Raw genomic sequence first — 17,073 nt, 5'->3', positions numbered from 1 at the left:
ACTCTCTGAGTTTCCCAGATGTCCTGCAGGTCCTGTCTGTCGCTCCCTGTTAATAGAGAAGCTGGGCTCCGCATGCCCTCTGGTGGTCTCTGAGAGAAGTGCAGGAGTTTGGGTTTTGGGCTTGTTTGGTTTTTTTGTTTGTTTGAAGATAAGAGCAGAGCTTTGGGGAAGGCAGATCTGTGAATATAAACCTTGCCCTCAGGGAGCTTCATTTCTCCTCTATGTGGACCATAATGTATTTCCACTGTCTCCTTTGGTAAGTTAACAGAGTTTCCTTTGGTCAAGGAGTTCTAAGTCCAAATTCTCCATGACTTCCCTGAGGCCCAGACATTTGACCCAAGGGAGCCAAGAGGAGGCAGAAAGGAAAACCCTGGTGCCTCAACCTTCCCACTGCAGCCTGACACCCCTCCCCACCATGAGCCTTGAGGATTGAAGCAGGCTAGGTCACCGAGTGAATGCAGGGGCATTGCGGGGGAAGGACAGGGGTCCTGGAAGCCACGGTGAGGGTCTGTCACATCCAGAACGAGCTCCCTTTCCTTCTGTTTCATTTGAAGGACTGTGCTTTGCTCCCTGTGCCTGCCCCACCCCCCTGTGGTTCTAGAGAGGCTGTCAATCCCAGGCATGGTAGTACATCTCCCTAGACACCATTATTGGTTCAGGAATAGGCAAATGACCAAGCTGAACTAAGCAAGGTCTTCCTTGGGACTTCTGTTGGAGACAACTGGGAAAGTCATTCTTCTGCTTTTGGATCTAAGACTGCATATAGAGCTGTCATGGAGAAAGTCTGCAGGAGGAGATAATGAGGACAGTATGCCAAGAGAGGCAGAGATAAGCAGAAACAATAGATGCAGAGGCGAGGGAGAGGGAAGGAGATGAGAAAGAAGCCTGTGACACCACGTGAGCCCCTGGGTTCAGCTGTACCTGAATTCAGACTAACCTCTGGACTTCCCTGGTATAAAAGCCATTCATTATTTCTGTTTGGCCTCAGCTAAAAGTCAGGTATCTTCATTTGCAATCAGGGCCTGCCCAATATCTGCAAAGCATCATATGTCTGTCCCCATTCTCACAGTAACTATCATTTACTAAACATATGTTTGACAAATTATGTGTCACAAGCTATGCTAAAGGCTTTCATATCTCAAAAAAAAATTCTCCCAACAATCCTGTGAGGGTGTGGGACAGATTATGATGGCTGCAAATTATTTGCCACTCCTCCCATTGAGAGGTGGAATTAATTTTCCCTCCCTTTGAATTTTGCCTGGCTCTGTGAACTGTTTTGACCAATACACAGTTACAGTGATGCTATGTAACTTCCAAAGCTGGACTTGAGAAGATACTTACAGCTTCTGCCTTCAAGTTTGGTACACTTTCCTTTGAAAGTCAGTTTTGGCCGGGCGCGGTGGCTCACGCCTGTAATCCCAGCACTTTGGGAGGCCAAGGCAGGCGGATCACGAGGTCAGGAGATCAAGACCGTCTTGGCTAACACGGTGAAACCCCATCTCTACTAAAAATACAAAAAAACGTATCCAAGTGTGGTGGTGGGCGCCTGTAGTCCCAGCTACTTGGGAGGCTGAGGCAGGAGAATGGCATGAACCCAGGAGGCAGAACTTGCAGTGAGCTGAGATCACGTCACTGCACTCCAGCCTGGGCAACAGAGCGAGACTCCATCTCAAAAAAAAAAAAAAAAAAAAAAAAAAAAAAAAAAAAAAAAAAAAAAAGAAAGTCAGTCTTATGTAAGAAGTCTGACTATCCTAAGGCTAACATGCAGCGAGGAAGCCCAGGTTAGCCACATGGAGAGAATGAGAGCACAAGAGAAGCTCTGTGCCCTAGACATGTGAGTGGGGGCTTCTTGGACTGTCCAGCACAGCACAGTGGAGACTCCAGCAGAATGCAGCCATGTGAACCCAAGCCAATGGTTCTGCTATATAGAGCAGACCTACCAAGCTGAGTTCTGACCAATCATGACCTCAAAAATCCTGAGAAGTGATTACTTTGGGGTTGTTTGTTATGTAGCAATGGATAACTGAAACAGAGCGAAATCCCTTTGTATAAAGAAAATGAGGCTAATTTGGCCTCTGTTGTAAAGTTCTAAGCAGCAGCACCAACTGCAAACCCAGAGTGTCTGACCCCAAAGCTCATTTTTTGTCCTCCATACCTTGATGGGGGAGTCATTCCCCATTGCAGTATTTGGACTGGAGGAAAGTTGGAGGCTCTGGGTCCTGGAAGTTGGGCTATGCCATCCCTCTTTCTCTCTGGAGGAAGATGAGAGCTCAAGCTTCAGCTCTGGAGAATCCAGAACTGCCCTCTGTCTCCTCACTTTCACCAGTAGCTTCCCAAGAGGAACCAGAAGGAAGGAAATATTGTTGGGTGTCAAGAGGTATGCATCAGAAGCTTCTGATGCCCCTGTCCCTTTAAAGAGGAATTGCTAGTTCTTCTCCAGCTTGCAGATCCAGGACCTAGATGTGTGACAGGAGTGAACAAGAAGAATGCCAAGGGGAGATAGCGAGTTTCCAGGAGAGGCCAACCTGGTCGGGAGATAGGGACCCAGGTGATAGCCCCTGAGGTGCTAGTTCTAGCAAAACCACCTTCTTCTGGAGCCTGGCAGCCTGAAGATCAGTCTCCCCCAAAACTGTGGGTCCAGCCCTGGTGGTTTAAATATCTTTATTGATACTAACCTCACCCACCATCCTGTGGCCAGCAGTTCTGGGGAGCCCAGTATCCAGAGGCCTTTAGACTGGCTTTTTTCCAGTCTAAAAAACTGTTTCCTCCTAGAGGCCAAGGGGAGGGAGGGCCTGTACAGTGTCCTTTAAACGCTCCCCGAGCGCCTTTTCGGGGCCGTCTGGCGCCCTGGGCCTTCGTGGGTGGGCGTTCCTCTCAAGCCCCTCGCCTCACCATTTCCAGAGCCCTGGGAGTTGGGCTTTGGCAGGGAGAGGCTGGGCTCGAGCGGCGAGAGGCGCCCGGTGCCGGTGCCCTGAGGTCCCACAGGTGCGAGCCACCGCTGCGCGAAGTCAGTCTAGCGGCCGGGCGGCGGGTCACAGGCAGAGGCTGAGCTCCTTGCGCACACGGCAGCGGTGGCACTGTACTACGCAGCACCAGTGGAAGCGGCACAGGCAGTTCTCTTCGAGCTGCACGCTCTCCTGGCGGTGCCCGCGGCCGCAGCACAGCAGGTCGCAGCCGCTGAGGTCCGGGGCGCTGCTATTGCAGGCGCGACCGCGCGTGCCGGGGGAGCCGGTGCGTCGGTTGGGGGCGCAGAAGTCGGGCGAATCGGCGGCGTAGAGGAGGTCCGCTCGGCCCGGCGGCTTGAGCGTGCGGACGGCGGGCAGCAGGGCCTTGCCGTCGTTGGTGCCCATGACGCGTGAGGCGCCGTGGAAGCGCTCCAGCAGCCGCGCGCCCACCTCGCGAAATGGAGGCAGCTTCTGCCAGCAGGTGCGCAGCGCGCATGATCCCGACAGCCCGTGGCATTTGCACTCGGTGCGCGTGTGGCTCCGCACGGCCTGCGGGAGGCAGAGGGGCGGACGCATGTGGACAGGTAGGGGGTGCAGGGAAGGGCCCAGCGGATGGACAGAAAATAAGATTGGGAATGGGAGGTGAAAGGAAGAGAGGAAAATGCAGACAAAAGGAGACCGCAAGTTCAGGGGGAGGAAATCAAGGAAAGGACAACTCGGAGGGGAGGAGCAGGAGGAATGGTGAGGATGGAGGAATATGATGATGACGAAGAGGGGAGACGGGGACAATATGCAGCGCAGAGATTCCAGGGTCCAAAGGCAGGGGGTGGGGGAGAAAGCAGAATGGACAGCAGGGGTGAGATTCTCTTTGGAGGAGGGGAGAGGTGGCAGCTGTCGAAGTCTAGCTCTCCTGCCTACCTGGCCCCCTCATTCCTACCCCTCACGGCCCCCAGGCCGGGCTGAGCACAGACGCAGAGCCAGCCTCCTGGGCATCTGTCTCCGTCACCCCTCCCCAACCCTCTCGGCAGGTATGTGGGCCTGTCCGGACATTCCTCTTCAGGCCCCCTCCTCCCCCTGCCCGATGCCTCAGGCCCGAACCCTAGAGGACACGGTATGTATGGCGATGTCCCTGGAGAACGCTAGAACGGAGGCATGGGGTGCAGGAGGGCCCGCTGGGAATGCAGTACTGAGAGTGGAACCCAGGCGGCCTCTCCCCTAGTCACTGTCTGAAGCAGGGTCTAAGATTCCCAAACCCACCAAGCGCTGATGGTTCAGAAGACCCAAGAAAATCATTTCTGGAAGCTCAGAGTCCAGGGGCTAACCTGACCATGTGTCCCACTCCCACCTCCTGAGTCTGCCCTGCCCCCTCCTGGAACCATCACACCCAGACAACCTTCTTGCCCCTGAATGAGAGCTCCTGGGGCTCTCCTCGTTACAGAGGGGAGAGGAGAGGCTGCCATGGCTCTGGGCAGGTGAGACCTGGGCTGGTGTTGCTGGGCAGCCAGTTGGCAAATGCCCAGAATTGGTCACAGCTGTCCTGGCCTCCACCTGACTCCCTCCAACCTCCACTAGGATTGGTTCCTTGTCCTTCGCTCTTTTCCATTGCCCCTCAGACCTGTTCTAACTCTTTCTAGGCCTCTCTCACTCCCCCTGGCTTCCCTGTACCAAAACCCCAGACCTTGCATTAGCTTCTATCCTGTCTTTCATCCCCACCTTTGTTTTATTCTCCTGCCCCTGCCTAGGCATCCAGACCTCCTACCCACTGCAAGCTTTGCTTCACCTGTCCTGTCTTGAAGCTGTGCCCTCTCTGCCTGGGGTCACTAAAGACCCTCAGTCCTATTCCCTGAGTGTCCCTTCCCCCATTCTGCCCGCTGTACCGTCCAGCATCTGGCCTTCTCAGACCCCCACGTGACTCCTTCTTGGAGGCTGGACACCTCTCCTCCCACATGTCCATCCATGCTTGCAGCCCATCTTTCCGCCCGTGCGCACTCCCCCACACATTAACGCCCCCCTCCACCTACACACCCTCACTCCTGCCAACACTTCCTCAAGCACACTCCTGCGCGCACACTCACATTTCCGCACACACTCACTCCATCCTGCCCGTACGCACCAGCCTGCCCGCCTCGTTGTTGTGCAGTTGCACCAACGCGCGGATGTCTCCGCGTCCCCGCTTGTGCCGCGCGTCCATAAAGAGCCTCGACTTCTCGTCCCCGAAGTCCACGTCGTCGCCGCAGCCTCCCCACTCCCAGGCGGCGCTGCCTTCCGGGGAGCCCGCGGGGCCAGGGGGTCCGGGGGTGCCGGGCAGGCCGGAGGGCCGGGGAGGGGCCCGCCCGCGGGGCGCCTGGCAGCCGCACTGCAGCAGCTCGCCCATAGAACAGGCCTGCGTGACGGCGTGGCTGGCGCCGGCCGCAGTGATGGCGAACACGAAGGCCGTCTCCCGAATGTCTGTGAATGCAGACAGGTGCAATCAGCGCGGGCTGGGGCGGTCAGCTGGGGCCTGGGACCTGAAACCTGCGGCGGGAGGGCTGCCCCAGGGGCCTGGGAGGCAGGGTCCTTGCAGGGTGCCCAGACACATGTGAGGGGGAAGTGGGGCTCAGGCAACTTCAGCGAACCAGTTCTCCTCTCCTCGGGTCCCACAGCAGGGAGAAAGCAGCCCCACTTCCGCCCCCTCCCCACACTGACCCTGTTGCAGGATGCGTCCAAAGGCCTTGCTGTGGCTGGAGCAATTCCAGCGGCGGAAGCGGAACTGGAACTGGCACTCTCGCACCCCGAGCCGGGCGCCCCGAGCTAGCTCTGCCACCACTTCCGGCTCAGCCTGGCACAACTCGGCCTGCCGCCCGGCCAGCCGCCGTGCCTTCCTGCAGATGCTGGTAGGGTCCATAACCAAGGGGCTGCCCACAGCCCTGGAAAGCAGAGAATAGCAGGTCAGGGGTGTAACCCAAAAAAGGGCTTGGGGTGGAAGGGAGGAGGACCAGCCCCACTCAGCCCGCAGCGGGAGCTGTGACATGCCCTCCCACCCTACCTCCAAACTGAGCTTGAGATTGTCCTGTCTGGCTCTCCTGCTAGTCCATGTCTGTGTCCCCTCTAACTAGAGTCTAGTCTGATAATTGCTACAGAGCAAAGATTCAATCTTATCTTCCTGCACACATCTTTGTAAATAAATTCTTATAGAAATTTTACTCAAGGTGAAGGCAGCTGGCATCAGGTAAGTCAAAGTTAAAACTCAAACTTCTAGCCCAAAAGGGTGACAAGGAAAAGAAATAACAGAAGAAAGATCAAGAAGGCCGTCAAGGAAATTCATGTGTCGTCAAGAGACACCAAAGAAAAGTAAGCAGTATCAAGGAATGATATGGTCCTAGTGGACCACAAGCTGGATATGTGTCAGCTGAACAGCCCGGATGAAAGGCAAGAACAATCCCAGGGAGAGAGAATGCCACGAGATGTTGGAACGGCTAGGGAATGGAGCCTAGCTGAGAAAAGTCACACCCTCTCCATAGCCCAGGTTTCTCCTTCTATAAAATGGGTGTGTTGGGCTTTCATCTCTAAGGTGGGCCCTCCTACCCTGATATCTTCTATGTCCCTGAACTGGAGAGCAGGAAGAAGGAGCTGGGGGCCAGGTCTCTGAAGCATTGTTGGAAAGTAGGTGACACTGACCCTTCTCTTGCTCCAGGATCTGTGGTTTTCGTTCTTTTTTTTTTTTTTTTTAATTGAGATGGAGTCTTGCTCTGTCACCCAGGCTGGAGTGCAGTGGCGGGCTCCCAGCTCACTGCAACCTCCACTGCCCAGGTTCAAGCGATTCTCATGCCTCAGCCTCCCAAATAGCTAGGACTACAGGTGTGCACCACCAGGCCTGGCTAATTTTTTTGTACTTTTAGTAGAGACAAGTTTCACCATGTTGGCCAAGCTGGTCTCAAACTCCTGACTTCAGGTGATCTGCCTGCCTCGGCTTCCCAAAGTGCTGGGATTACAGGCATGAGCCACCACACATGGCCAAGGATCTGTTGCCTTCTCTGAGCAGAATGGCAGTGAACCAAGCCCTGCGCATTAGGGTGACATCACTGCTGGGTGCAGGCAATATTTGGCTTGGTAGGGGAAGACTTCACGGGAAGTCTCACGCACTTCCAGAAATCCCTCAACTCCTGGCCTTCGTTCTGCCCAAGGAGAGAGCTGACATTTGGTTTTGGTATACCAGACCCCTGAAGGTTAATTCCTTAGGGATTCATACCTGGGGGAACTGCTCTCATCAGAATGCTCCTATTTGAACACTTAGCTGGGATTCCCATCTCAAATGAATGAGTAGAGCATCTGGGAGCAGAGGGTAATTAGAGACCACCCAAAAGCTCTTCAGCAGAGGACAGGGTGGGGGTAGGGGTCCCAGGAGAGAGAAAACATAGAGAATGGTGGTAGGTGGTGCCAGAGGTCAAGGTGGCCTACTTTTCAGTTTTGCTTTAGTGCATATCCGCCCCACTGTCCCCATTTGCTCCACAAGTACAGGCTGCCCAGGAATGTTCTGGCTCCACAACAATGAAATGTGATGGTCTTAAATAGAAGCAAGAGGAATTTAGGTCTTAAGGTAGAACTCTCAACACTAAGGATGGAGATGCTTGAAGAGGTGGTACAGGAAGATGTGTAGTAAGCTCAGTCCTTTATGGTCTACAACACAAACACGTGTGTGTGCACGTGCATTCTCATGCGTGCACGCATGCGCACGCACACACACAAAATCAAGTTGCTGCCGTCATCCGTACCCAAGTAGCTCAGGAATCAGATGTCTCTCAATGGAGAGGCCACAGTCCACATCTTCCTTCCTGCGTGCTTAAGACCAGCCCAGCACTGGCCCCCACCCTTTCCCAGCCTAGATAAGTAAAGCAATGGAGGGTGGGTCAGGGCACCCCAATGACCCAGTGACTTTTGAGAGCTGATCGGTCTCTATTGATCCATCAATCTATCTGTCCCTCCTCTGCCCATATATCCCACCTCATTATAAGAAGGATTGGAGGCAGCTTCCAACATGGCTGTGCAGGGTCAGGAGATAAGACTATGAGCTTCTTGAGCATTAAGACTGCCTTATTTTCCTTTGCATCTCCTGGAAGACTTAGGTACTTAGTTTATATCCTCCCCCAACCCCAATTTTCATTACAAAAAATTGCATAGTATGAATTCTGTGTCACATGTAATACCTGTAGTATATTATACAATGAACACCATCTAATATGTGGTTTTGAATGAGTAAATAAGCCATCTAAGAGAAAGTTCTCACTTGAGCCCAGGCCCCTGTCCACATCTTATTTCATGACTCCTAATTCATTTCCTCAAACATGCTCTTTTCCCCCACTGGGAATCAGGCAGGGAATGAGTCCTCTCTGCAGTCGTCCAGCCCCTTATGTCTGGGGCTCCACCTGTGAGTCGGGGGCTCTGCAAGCTCATCTTCCCCACCCCCACTTCCCTTACTTCTAAGTTCCCCAGTCCCTCCTCCTCAACCCTGCCCTCTGCTAACTCCCTAGTTTCCCAGGGTTGCCTGGCCTTATCTTCCCAAGGTTACTCTGCCCCATCCTTCTCCTCTCCCTCCTCCTCCCTTAAGAAGGCAGGAGGGAGTGGAGATGAGCAAGACAGAAAGACAAAAACCTCTTGACCTTCTCTGTTTCGCAGGGACTAGAGACGGGAGAATCACGAGGAGTATGGAGGCCAGGGACTTTCAGGAGGTAGGGCTGGGGCTGGGGGACTGCCCCAGAGCCAGTTCCTGGTCTGGGTCTGGCTCCCCAGGCTGGCTGGCTGCCTGGGAACTAGACTTGTTTACAAGCTGGTCAGGGGGAGGGATGGGCAGTAGTAGCAGCTAGAATCCCAAGGGACCAGTTTGTTCCCTGCCCTCCTGTCCTTGCTCCCATCCTAAATACATAGGAAATGAAACTCCAGAAGGGGCGTGGCAGGGGGCATTGGGCAAAACACCAAGCTTCGCTTCCGATCTCTGGTTTCTGTCAACTCTGTGTGGGCTGAGCCACTCTGATCAAGTCATTCCCCTTTGTGGGCTTCAGAAAAACTGAGGAGTTAGCATGAGAGACTCACGTACCCCCTATAACTTTGGCTTTTGACAACACATCAAGTAATAACTCCCCCATCCCCACTCACCTTTCACCTTCCTCGCTTTATGCTTCCTTAGGGAGTGAACTCTGCTTTTCAGGCCTTTGGGTCAGCATTGGCCTAGGATCAGCCCAGAGAAGATGTGCTCCTTTGGGAGAATTTGCATGTTTTGGGGCCTGAAGCACAGTGGTAGTAGGGAATACACAATATATAGGATCTGGGATCCTCATCAAACAGCCATTCCTGGGCATAGAAAAAAATGAGGCTAGCCCTAAAAGAAATCAGTATGCGGACAAGAAGGGACAAGGCAATGGATGGTCATTCTAACCGGCTTGGCCTGCGCCAAGGTCTCTCTACCAAGGACCATGGTTGGTAGGATCAATTGCCTAGGGAGGTGGTATCAGGGGCCAGCCAGTCCCTATTGGCAATATGTGTAGACCTAAGCCCTGGATGTCCTAGGTTTCTGGCCTAACCTACCTTTCCATCTCTTGAGTCAGAGGGCCAAGAACAATGTCAGAGATCACCCAGTTCAGCCCCACCCACTTCACCCTCGTTATGCAGATGAGCAAGACAGGAGGCGACTGACTCTGGCCACTGGTGGAGGGATCCCTATTGCAAGACACAGTAGATGAATATTTCAAACATAAACAGTGCTGGAGGGAAATGGGCACGTGAGATATCAGAAGACTTCCAGTGGCCTCCCACACCATCCTCCACACAGCCCCGTACCCCTAGCAAGGTTGATTAACTCTGAATCTATTCCAGATAACATCGCTAAAATTCTGGATTCAGACCCACCCTAAGTCATCAAAATCTTAGCATCTCTCCAAACTCACCTCAGATCCCACTTGCCCTAAGGAGCCTCCCTGGGCCCCAGTCCCCACAGACCTTCCTCCATGCATCACCCGGGGCGCCTCTCATTTGGGGGCGTCTGTTATCCTGCCAGTGGTATAATTAATTTTTCATGTTTGCTTGTCTTATCTTTCTAACTAGGTAGAAAACTCATCGAAGACAATAAGCTCATGCATGGACATTCATGGAGTACGCTCAGGGTTTTTGGGATCCACCAGACTTGAGTTTGGATCTGGGCTCTGCCATTTGCTTGTTCTATGATGTTGAGTGAGTCCCTAGCATGTGAAGCTGGCACTTAGTCTTCATTAGATGGATGATGAGACTTAACCTCCTGAGCCTCAGTTTCTTCAACTGTCAAATGAAACTAGTAATACCCACCTCCCTCCCAGATTACAGATGCAGAGAACCTGTCCAGAGAGTGGGCTTCCTCCAACAACTGGTGTTTGTCTTCCCACCACACCCTTATTCATCTCTTGAGCCTGCCCAGTTCAGGACAAACAGTAGGGTGCAGGCAGCATTGTGGATTCCTGAGAACACCCTTTTCTCCAACTCTCTGCTATTTCTTCTCAGCCTGGATCCCTGTGTCTCCTCCTCCTCCATCCAGCCCTGCTCCTGGACCAAATGCACCCTCTAGGACCCTCCTCTTCCCCAGCAGGCACTCCTGGGTGGATCACTGAGGCCAAAGGGATCACAGCCCACTGGCTACCCAACGCCCTCTGAAGGGTCTCCAAGCCAGCCTCCCTCTATTTCCCCACCCCTACTCCCAAGGTCCCCACACTGACCCCACCTCCCACAAGCCAGCAGAGGGAGCCCTGAGCCCTGGGGCTGTGGGTGGGGGTTGCACAGGGGTGGGGGAGGTGGGTGGTGGAGAAGGGGCAGAAAAATGTTGCCTGACTGCTGCTGAGGCGGCTGGGCCGGGCCTGTGCCCGCCCGCCTGTCCTGTCCTGCTCTGTCTAACTCGGTAATTACTGCTCCCCTCCCCCAGCCCCTACCCCCACCCAAACCACCACATCAAAGCCAGTGATGCCCAGCTCCATTAACCCCTGCCTCCCCACTGCCCCCCCAGCCACCCCATTCCCCACCTCACCACCCCTAACCCAACTTGGTTCCCTCTGCCCTTCCTCACCATCTCTCCTCATCACTCTTGGGAGAGGTGGAGGCATTCCCTTCCCTGACAGACTTCGCTGTACAAAAGGGCTTCCTATTGGTCAGGGCTGCGGCAGGCAAAGGTGCCCCCAGGAGACTGTCCTGGGCCCTCTGCTCGCCCATATTGGGGTGGGGAGCACCTATCTGAGGGTGGGACAGGGGAGCAGGAGAGGCCTGTGGGAGATCCTGTGCCCCTTTCCTGATCCCCCACCTCCTCACAAGAATGAGGCACTGAGCCAGAGGTGGACTCTCAGTCTGGCTCTGAGCTGCCTGCATTCCGGGTGGCCAGGGGCAAGTCATCTTCTCACCGCCTGTCTGTGACCTTGCTGCCCTCACATGTAAGTGAAAATATTGGACCTGATTATCTGTAAGTGCTTTCTAGATCTACTTTCTAGATTAAACAGAGGGCTCAGGAACTGGAGGAACCAGCCAAAGAGGCCAAGGTGGAGAAGCCTCCCAGAGCCCTTTCTCTCCCTCAGCTCCTCCTCCGGCAGTTCTGGAGAAGCACCCGAGGGAGTGCCTGGCCTAGGCAGGAAGGAGGGTGCAGGCTGGGGGTGCTTTCACTGACCCACAAAGGACAGGCGTCCTGCGGCCACCCTCCTGCCAGCCTGACCACACTGCCCTCGCCTCATCCCCTCCACAGTGGCATTTCTCCATCATAGTGCACATTCTGGAACCCCCGCTTGCTGGGCCTGATGAGCAAACCTCCTGCTGACCTCTCCCCACCAACTCCTGGCTTCTGATGAGAACAGGGCAGGAGGGGGCTGCACCCCCCAGGAAATGTCTCAGTGCCAGAACTCTGGTGGGCTCAGGGCATGCTCTGGCCTGGATTGGGCCAGCCTCCTTCTGCCCCTGCCCTTTTCTGCTCACAGCCCCATTGTATCCCTCCAGGGGAAGCTGCCAAGGCGGGAGGCCTGGAGGGGGGAATGGATGGCCAACCCACCCCCTTTCACACCCCACCCTGGAGCTCAGCAGGGGCCAGCAACAGGACTGCCCACGATGGGTCAGGGGCCCCAGATAAAGACAGGATGGGAAAGGGTGGTCAGGCCCAGCCTGGGTTGGGGGTGGCAGCTAGAAAACCTGAGTGCCACAAAGAAGCCAGGGTCGTTTCCCTGCCTCCCTGTGGGGCCAGATGAGGCTGTCCTAGGCCTCTGGCTCTTGTTTCCTTTTCCAGGAGGGGGGTGGGTGAAAGACAAGATGGGATGGGGGAAGGGAGTGACACTGGGTGGTGTTTTCCCTAGTGGAACAAGGGGAGGGTTAGTTTCTTTCATAGAAAATATAAAACAGGGCTGGGCGCGGTGGCTCACGCCTGTTATCCCAGCACTTTGGGAAGCTGAGGCACGCAGATGACTTTAAGTCAGGAGTTCGAGATCAGCCTGGCCAACATGGTGAAACCCCATCTCTACTAAAAATACTAAAAAAAAAAAATTAGCTGGCATGGTGCCAGGCACCTGTAATCCCGGCTAATCAGGAGGCTGAGGTAGGAGAATCACTTGAACCCGGGTGGCAGAGGTTGCAGTGAGCTGAGATTGCACCACTGCACTCCAGCCTGGGTGACAGAGCGAGACTCTGTCTCAAAAAGGAAAAAAAGAAAAGAAAAGAAAAAAACAGAGGAAAGAGGAAGAGAGAAGAAGGAGATTGATTTGACCATTCTATGAGAGTGAGCTCTTTACTACATCCACCGATTGGAGGTATAAATAATGATGGGTCAGATGTTGTAAAGAACTTCCTGGGGGTGGGCAAGGCCGGAGCAAGGAGCAGAGCGGAAGTGGGGAACTGGTGACTGGGAAGCTCTCCCTCTCTGCCTCACTCCCAAGACAGGGTCTGTCAGGGCCACAGGATAGGCTGGATGACCTGGATGCAATGAGGCTGGACAAGATGATTTCCAGAGAGCCTGGCCAATGTCCTTGAATCTGGGATTCTGTAATTCACAAAGATATGATTACAAATGAGAGAAAGACAGAGAGGCTAGGGGAAGAGTTTATTTTTATTGATTGATTGATTGAGACAGAGTCTTGCTCTGTCACCCAGGCTGGAGTGCAGTGGCATGGATCTCGGTTCACTGCAACCTCAGCCTCCCAGGTTCGAGTGATTCTTCTGCCTCAGCCTCCCAAGTAGCTGGGATTACAGGCACCTGCCACCACTCCTGGCTAATTTTTGTATTTTTAGTAGAGACAGGGTTTCACCATGTTGGCCAAACTGGTCTCGAACTCCTGACCTCAAGTGATCCGCCCACCTCAGCCTTCCAAAGTGGTGGGATTTCAGGAGTGAGCCTCTGTGCCTGAGCTGGAGACAGAGTTTAGAAAGCATGCATCACATTGGAGTAAGGAAGGGAAGTGAAAAAGAAGGTGGGAGAGAAACTTCTCAGGAACCTGGAGCCAGGTCTCCGAGCCAATTCCAAGGGCATGAGCCTCTTTCCTGACCAAGACAGTCGAGTCACTCAAAGGTCCTGGGGTCCTCTCTGCTTCTAGCCTGGCTGCTGCTAGAATGTCAGAGTGGGATGCAGGAGGCTGCTGCAGCTGCTTTCCTGGCCAGCACTGGAGCTCTGACCTGGCCAGGATTCTCTGACAAGTAGGGAGAAGAAGGCCAGGGAAAGCAGGTCCTGGGCATCGGGGAACAGCCTGGAAGCCCTTACTGGGAAAGCTGCCAGCTGAAGTGAGACTGGGGATTTAGGGGACTGGAAGAGCCTCAGGCCAGTGGGAATTATTGGTCCAGCTCATCAACCCAAACTTGATCTTGGAGGGCACTGGTAGGGTGGGGAGAGCTCAGGAGTGTAAGCAGAGTCAAAGATCCAGGGGAAGGGGATCTGGGCTCAGACCAAAGAGATGAAGTGTCAGAAATAGACAAGTGACCAGGCACAATGGCTCATGCCTGTAAGCCCAGCACTTTGGGAGGCCAAGGTGAGCAGATTGCTTGAGGTCAGGAGTTTGAGACCAGCCTGACCAACATGGTGAAACCTCGTCTCTACTAAACATACAAAATTTAGCTGGGCATGGTGGTGGGCAACTCTAATCCCAGTTACTCAGGAGGCTGAGGCAGGAGAATCATTTGAGCCGGGAGGTGGAGGTTGTAGTGAGCCAATATTGCACCACTGCACTCCAGCCTGGGCGACACAACGAGACTCCGTCTCAAAAAAATAAAAAATAAAAAGTAAAATAGGCTGGGCATGGTAATGCCATGGTAATGGCTGGGCCTGTAATCCCAGCACTTTGGGAGGCCGAGGCGGGCAGATCACTTGAGGTCAGGAGTTTGAGACCAGCCTGACCAACACGGTGAAACCTTGTTGAAACCTGGTGAAACCTCTACTAAACATGGTGAAACCTCTACTAAAAATTCAAAAACTAGCCAGGCATGGTGGTGGGTGCCTGTAGTCCCAGCTACTTGGGAAGCTGAAGCAGGAGAATCACTTGAACCGGGGAGACAGAGGTTGCCATGAGCCAAGATCGCACCACTGCACTCCAGCCTGGGCGACAGAACGAGACTCTGCTCTAAATAAATAAATAAATAAAAATAGAAATAAAGAAAGAAAAACAAAATGAATAGACAAAGGAGAGTGAAGGGGCCAAGGCAGGGAGGAGAGGCTCATTCCCTCAGAGGCACATCTGAGCAAGGCAGTCAGACACGTTATCACTGGGACCCCTCACTCCTCACCCGGCACGCCCTGCAGCTGTGGCCATGAAGGCCTCTGTGTTCTCCCACACCTGCCCGTGTCACCTCCTCCCCCACTCCCTTCTTCCCAGCTTCAGGGTCAGTCTCTCAGGGACCAGGCCACTCTCCTTTGGCTTGGCTGCCACCCAGCAGTCCTTCCTGAACAAAGGAAGCCCCACAGATACAGAGCCCAGAAAGGTGAATCAGCCAGTCCAATGACACTCTGCAAGCCCATCTCCAGCACCAACACACTCCTAGGCCTCAGGGCTCCTAAAGACAAGGTATCTGCCTTCCAGGAGCAGGGAAGAGAGACCTAAAGGACTGTTGTCAGCCAAATGCAGTAACCAGCATAGTTGCCCAATGTATGTGATACAGTGGGAGCGCAGAGAAGGCAATGGAAGGAGGACAAGGGGGCAGCTTCAGGGAGGAAATGGTATTTTAACCGTAAGGATAAGAATGATTTAGACAGAGGGGGAGGGAGGGGAAGGAAGACAATGGCCATCAGGGAGGGACCCCATCCCCACACCTTGAAAAAGGGCAAAGTTAGGCGTTTATGGGGAAAAGAGATTCCTTTACAACATTTTCCTTGGAACTCTGGATTTTAAATGTAAATGAATCCCCTTTTTCACTCCTGGGGACCCTGGCCAGGAGAAGCTGGGTTGTGAGGGGGGCGCTGTACATACTGAGTACCTCCTAAGGTCCTATTATTCTACACGTCCTCCCACCTAACCTTCCCAGCAAGCCTGCCAGGTAGGGAGACTGTTATCCTATTTCCAGTTAAGACTGAGAGGTAGGGAAAGGAAGTGACTAGCCCAAGATCACAAACATAATGTTTAGATCTTAGATCTATCTGCTTCAAAGCTGCCACTGCATTATACTAAGCCGGATCAAAGGGCATATGTTCCCTAGATAGGACCTGGGTCGTCCTCGGTTCGCCCTTTCCGTGACACTAGCGTCGGACGGCTCTCCGCATCACGGAGTAGGGATTGCTGCCCGCCACTCCCTGTGTGGGCATCCTACTCCCTATCTCTCCAGAGCACGGGGATCTGCCTCTCTTCCAAATCTGGGGGGCGAGGGAGGAGCGGAGGGTCGGCATCCAGCCAATCACATGGCAATATGCAAATAGACACGACCCTGCCTTCTTAGGATTGGCTAACCCGTCAGCGTTATTGTCCAAGTCTCTCCTCTCTAAACACTGAGCTATTCCGGGCGAGGGTTTGCGGCTCTGGAGACCTAGGGGGAAAAAAGTCCTTTGGATCTGGATCTCTGAGCCGTCCCGGTCGGGCACCCTCCTTCCCCGCCCCGGCCCCACCCCCACCCCCAAGGCTCGAAGCTCCCGCAACCTTCGCTGCCTAGGTGTCCCTTCTAGCTAGGGCCAAGCCTGGGAAGACGCCCCCTTCCCTTGGCTGGCCAGGCCCCTCTCCCTTCCCGCAGGACCCCTCCCGGTCCCGTATCTCCCGGGCTGCACATATTTTTTCATTCATGACCCCCAGGTCTGGAAGGGCCGGGCGCCTGGGTCCGGTTCCTTCCGCTCCTCCTTTTCCTTGCTTGGGGAGGACGAGGTAGAGAAAACCAGGGTCCTGACTCACTTTCCCCTTTATATTCCCTCTGTCGTCACTAAGGCCCACTCCTCAGGAGCCCAGAGAGAAGCCGGTGGGTTGGTAGGCAAAGCAGGGCGGGGAAGGGGCAGCTGTGTGGCCCTCTCTGCCTTGTGGCTTCCCACCTTGTTCCTGTCTTCTCCAAATCCAGCCCCATACCCTGAATCCAGGGCCCTCCTCACACATTCTTTTCCTCGGATATGTGTCTTCCCGAAAGATCTTTCCTACCCACTCGCCTGTTCCTTGGTGAGCTGGGTGAGCGCATAACTTGGCGGGGGGTGGGAGAGAACCCGGGAGGAGGAAACACAATAGAATGTTCCCGAGGGTTAGGAACGTCGAAGTGGAGTTCAGAAACGCCCCCGGCCGAGGCCAGAAAGCTGGGCTCGGAGAGCAGGTAGAGCCGGGAGGCTGCGGAACACCCCAGTCTGTCCTGGGTCCCGGGGTCCCCACCCTCCAGGGTCCAGAGCCGCGCCAGGACAGCCGGACTCACCACCACAGTCCGCCGACGTGCGCCGGGCACAGGAGCAGCAGCAGCAGCAGCCCGAGGCGGGAGGGTAAGGGCGGCAGCATCGTGACCGCCCTACGGCCGCCCGGGTGGGCAGGGGGCGAGGCTGCGGGGCGAACCGCGGCGCGCGAGGGCCCGGGCTTCAGTGCGAGCGCGGCGAGCGCAACGGCGGCGGCCGGGAGGCGAGGGATCCGGCGGCGGCGGGGGGGCCCATCCCGGGCGAGGAGGGCGCGGCGGAGGCGGAGAGCGGACGGGGCAGCCAGCGCCTGTGTCTCCTGCGGAGCTCGCTCGGGAGAAG

At 54.7% G+C, this 17,073-nt stretch overlaps 2 protein-coding genes across 2 annotated transcripts in view, besides 2 other annotated features; both read right to left on the bottom strand.

Moving 5' to 3' along the window:
• Positions 1 to 2,762, bottom strand: part of WNT10A (Wnt family member 10A) — a 19,813-nt gene extending 17,051 nt beyond the window's left edge. Inside the window, exons 1-2 of the mRNA XM_011511929.3 lie at positions 2,676 to 2,762; positions 2,156 to 2,252 (exon numbers count right to left, since the gene is read on the bottom strand). Coding sequence (XP_011510231.1) covers positions 2,156 to 2,172 — 17 coding nt within the window. The 5' untranslated portion in view covers positions 2,173 to 2,252; positions 2,676 to 2,762. The remainder of the gene's footprint in view (positions 1 to 2,155; positions 2,253 to 2,675) is intronic.
• WNT6 (Wnt family member 6) lies at positions 2,645 to 17,073 on the bottom strand. Its single transcript, NM_006522.4, has 4 exons — positions 16,761 to 17,073; positions 5,631 to 5,851; positions 5,059 to 5,393; positions 2,645 to 3,494 (listed from the first exon to the last, which is right to left on the bottom strand). Exons 1-4 carry the CDS (start codon positions 16,838 to 16,840, stop codon positions 3,033 to 3,035), a joined length of 1,098 nt encoding a protein of 365 aa, NP_006513.1. The 5' UTR covers positions 16,841 to 17,073; the 3' UTR covers positions 2,645 to 3,032.
• Positions 4,277 to 5,223: an enhancer, noted in NCBI's record as "H3K27ac-H3K4me1 hESC enhancer chr2:219736377-219737323 (GRCh37/hg19 assembly coordinates)". NCBI's record gives its function as "activates a minimal SCP1, AML or CMV promoter by ChIP-STARR-seq in naive H9 embryonic stem cells {active_cell/tissue: H9 hESC(naive)}" and the evidence as "EXISTENCE:reporter gene assay evidence [ECO:0000049][PMID:30033119]".
• Positions 5,302 to 5,371: a silencer, noted in NCBI's record as "silent region_12327". NCBI's record gives its function as "represses an Ori minimal core promoter by ATAC-STARR-seq in GM12878 lymphoblastoid cells {active_cell/tissue: GM12878}" and the evidence as "EXISTENCE:reporter gene assay evidence [ECO:0000049][PMID:35858748]".

Source organism: Homo sapiens, chromosome 2 (genome assembly GCF_000001405.40).
Source record: "Homo sapiens chromosome 2, GRCh38.p14 Primary Assembly".
Classification (NCBI taxonomy): domain Eukaryota; kingdom Metazoa; phylum Chordata; class Mammalia; order Primates; family Hominidae; genus Homo; species Homo sapiens.
Note: the sequence above shows the minus strand (reverse complement) of the source record. Positions and strands in the feature narration are given on the sequence as shown.

Bases quoted from the DNA above. Each gene is read 5' to 3' on its own strand.
- WNT6 (NM_006522.4), bottom strand. From the start codon at position 16,840: ATGCTGCCGCCCTTACCCTCCCGCCTCGGGCTGCTGCTGCTGCTGCTC. The intron at 5,852-16,760 runs GTGAGTCCGGCT...TCTGCTTTCCAG, and splicing joins CACGTCGGCGGACTGTGGTG to GGCTGTGGGCAGCCCCTTGG. The intron at 3,495-5,058 runs GTGCGTACGGGC...TGCCTCCCGCAG, and splicing joins ACAACGAGGCGGGCAGGCTG to GCCGTGCGGAGCCACACGCG.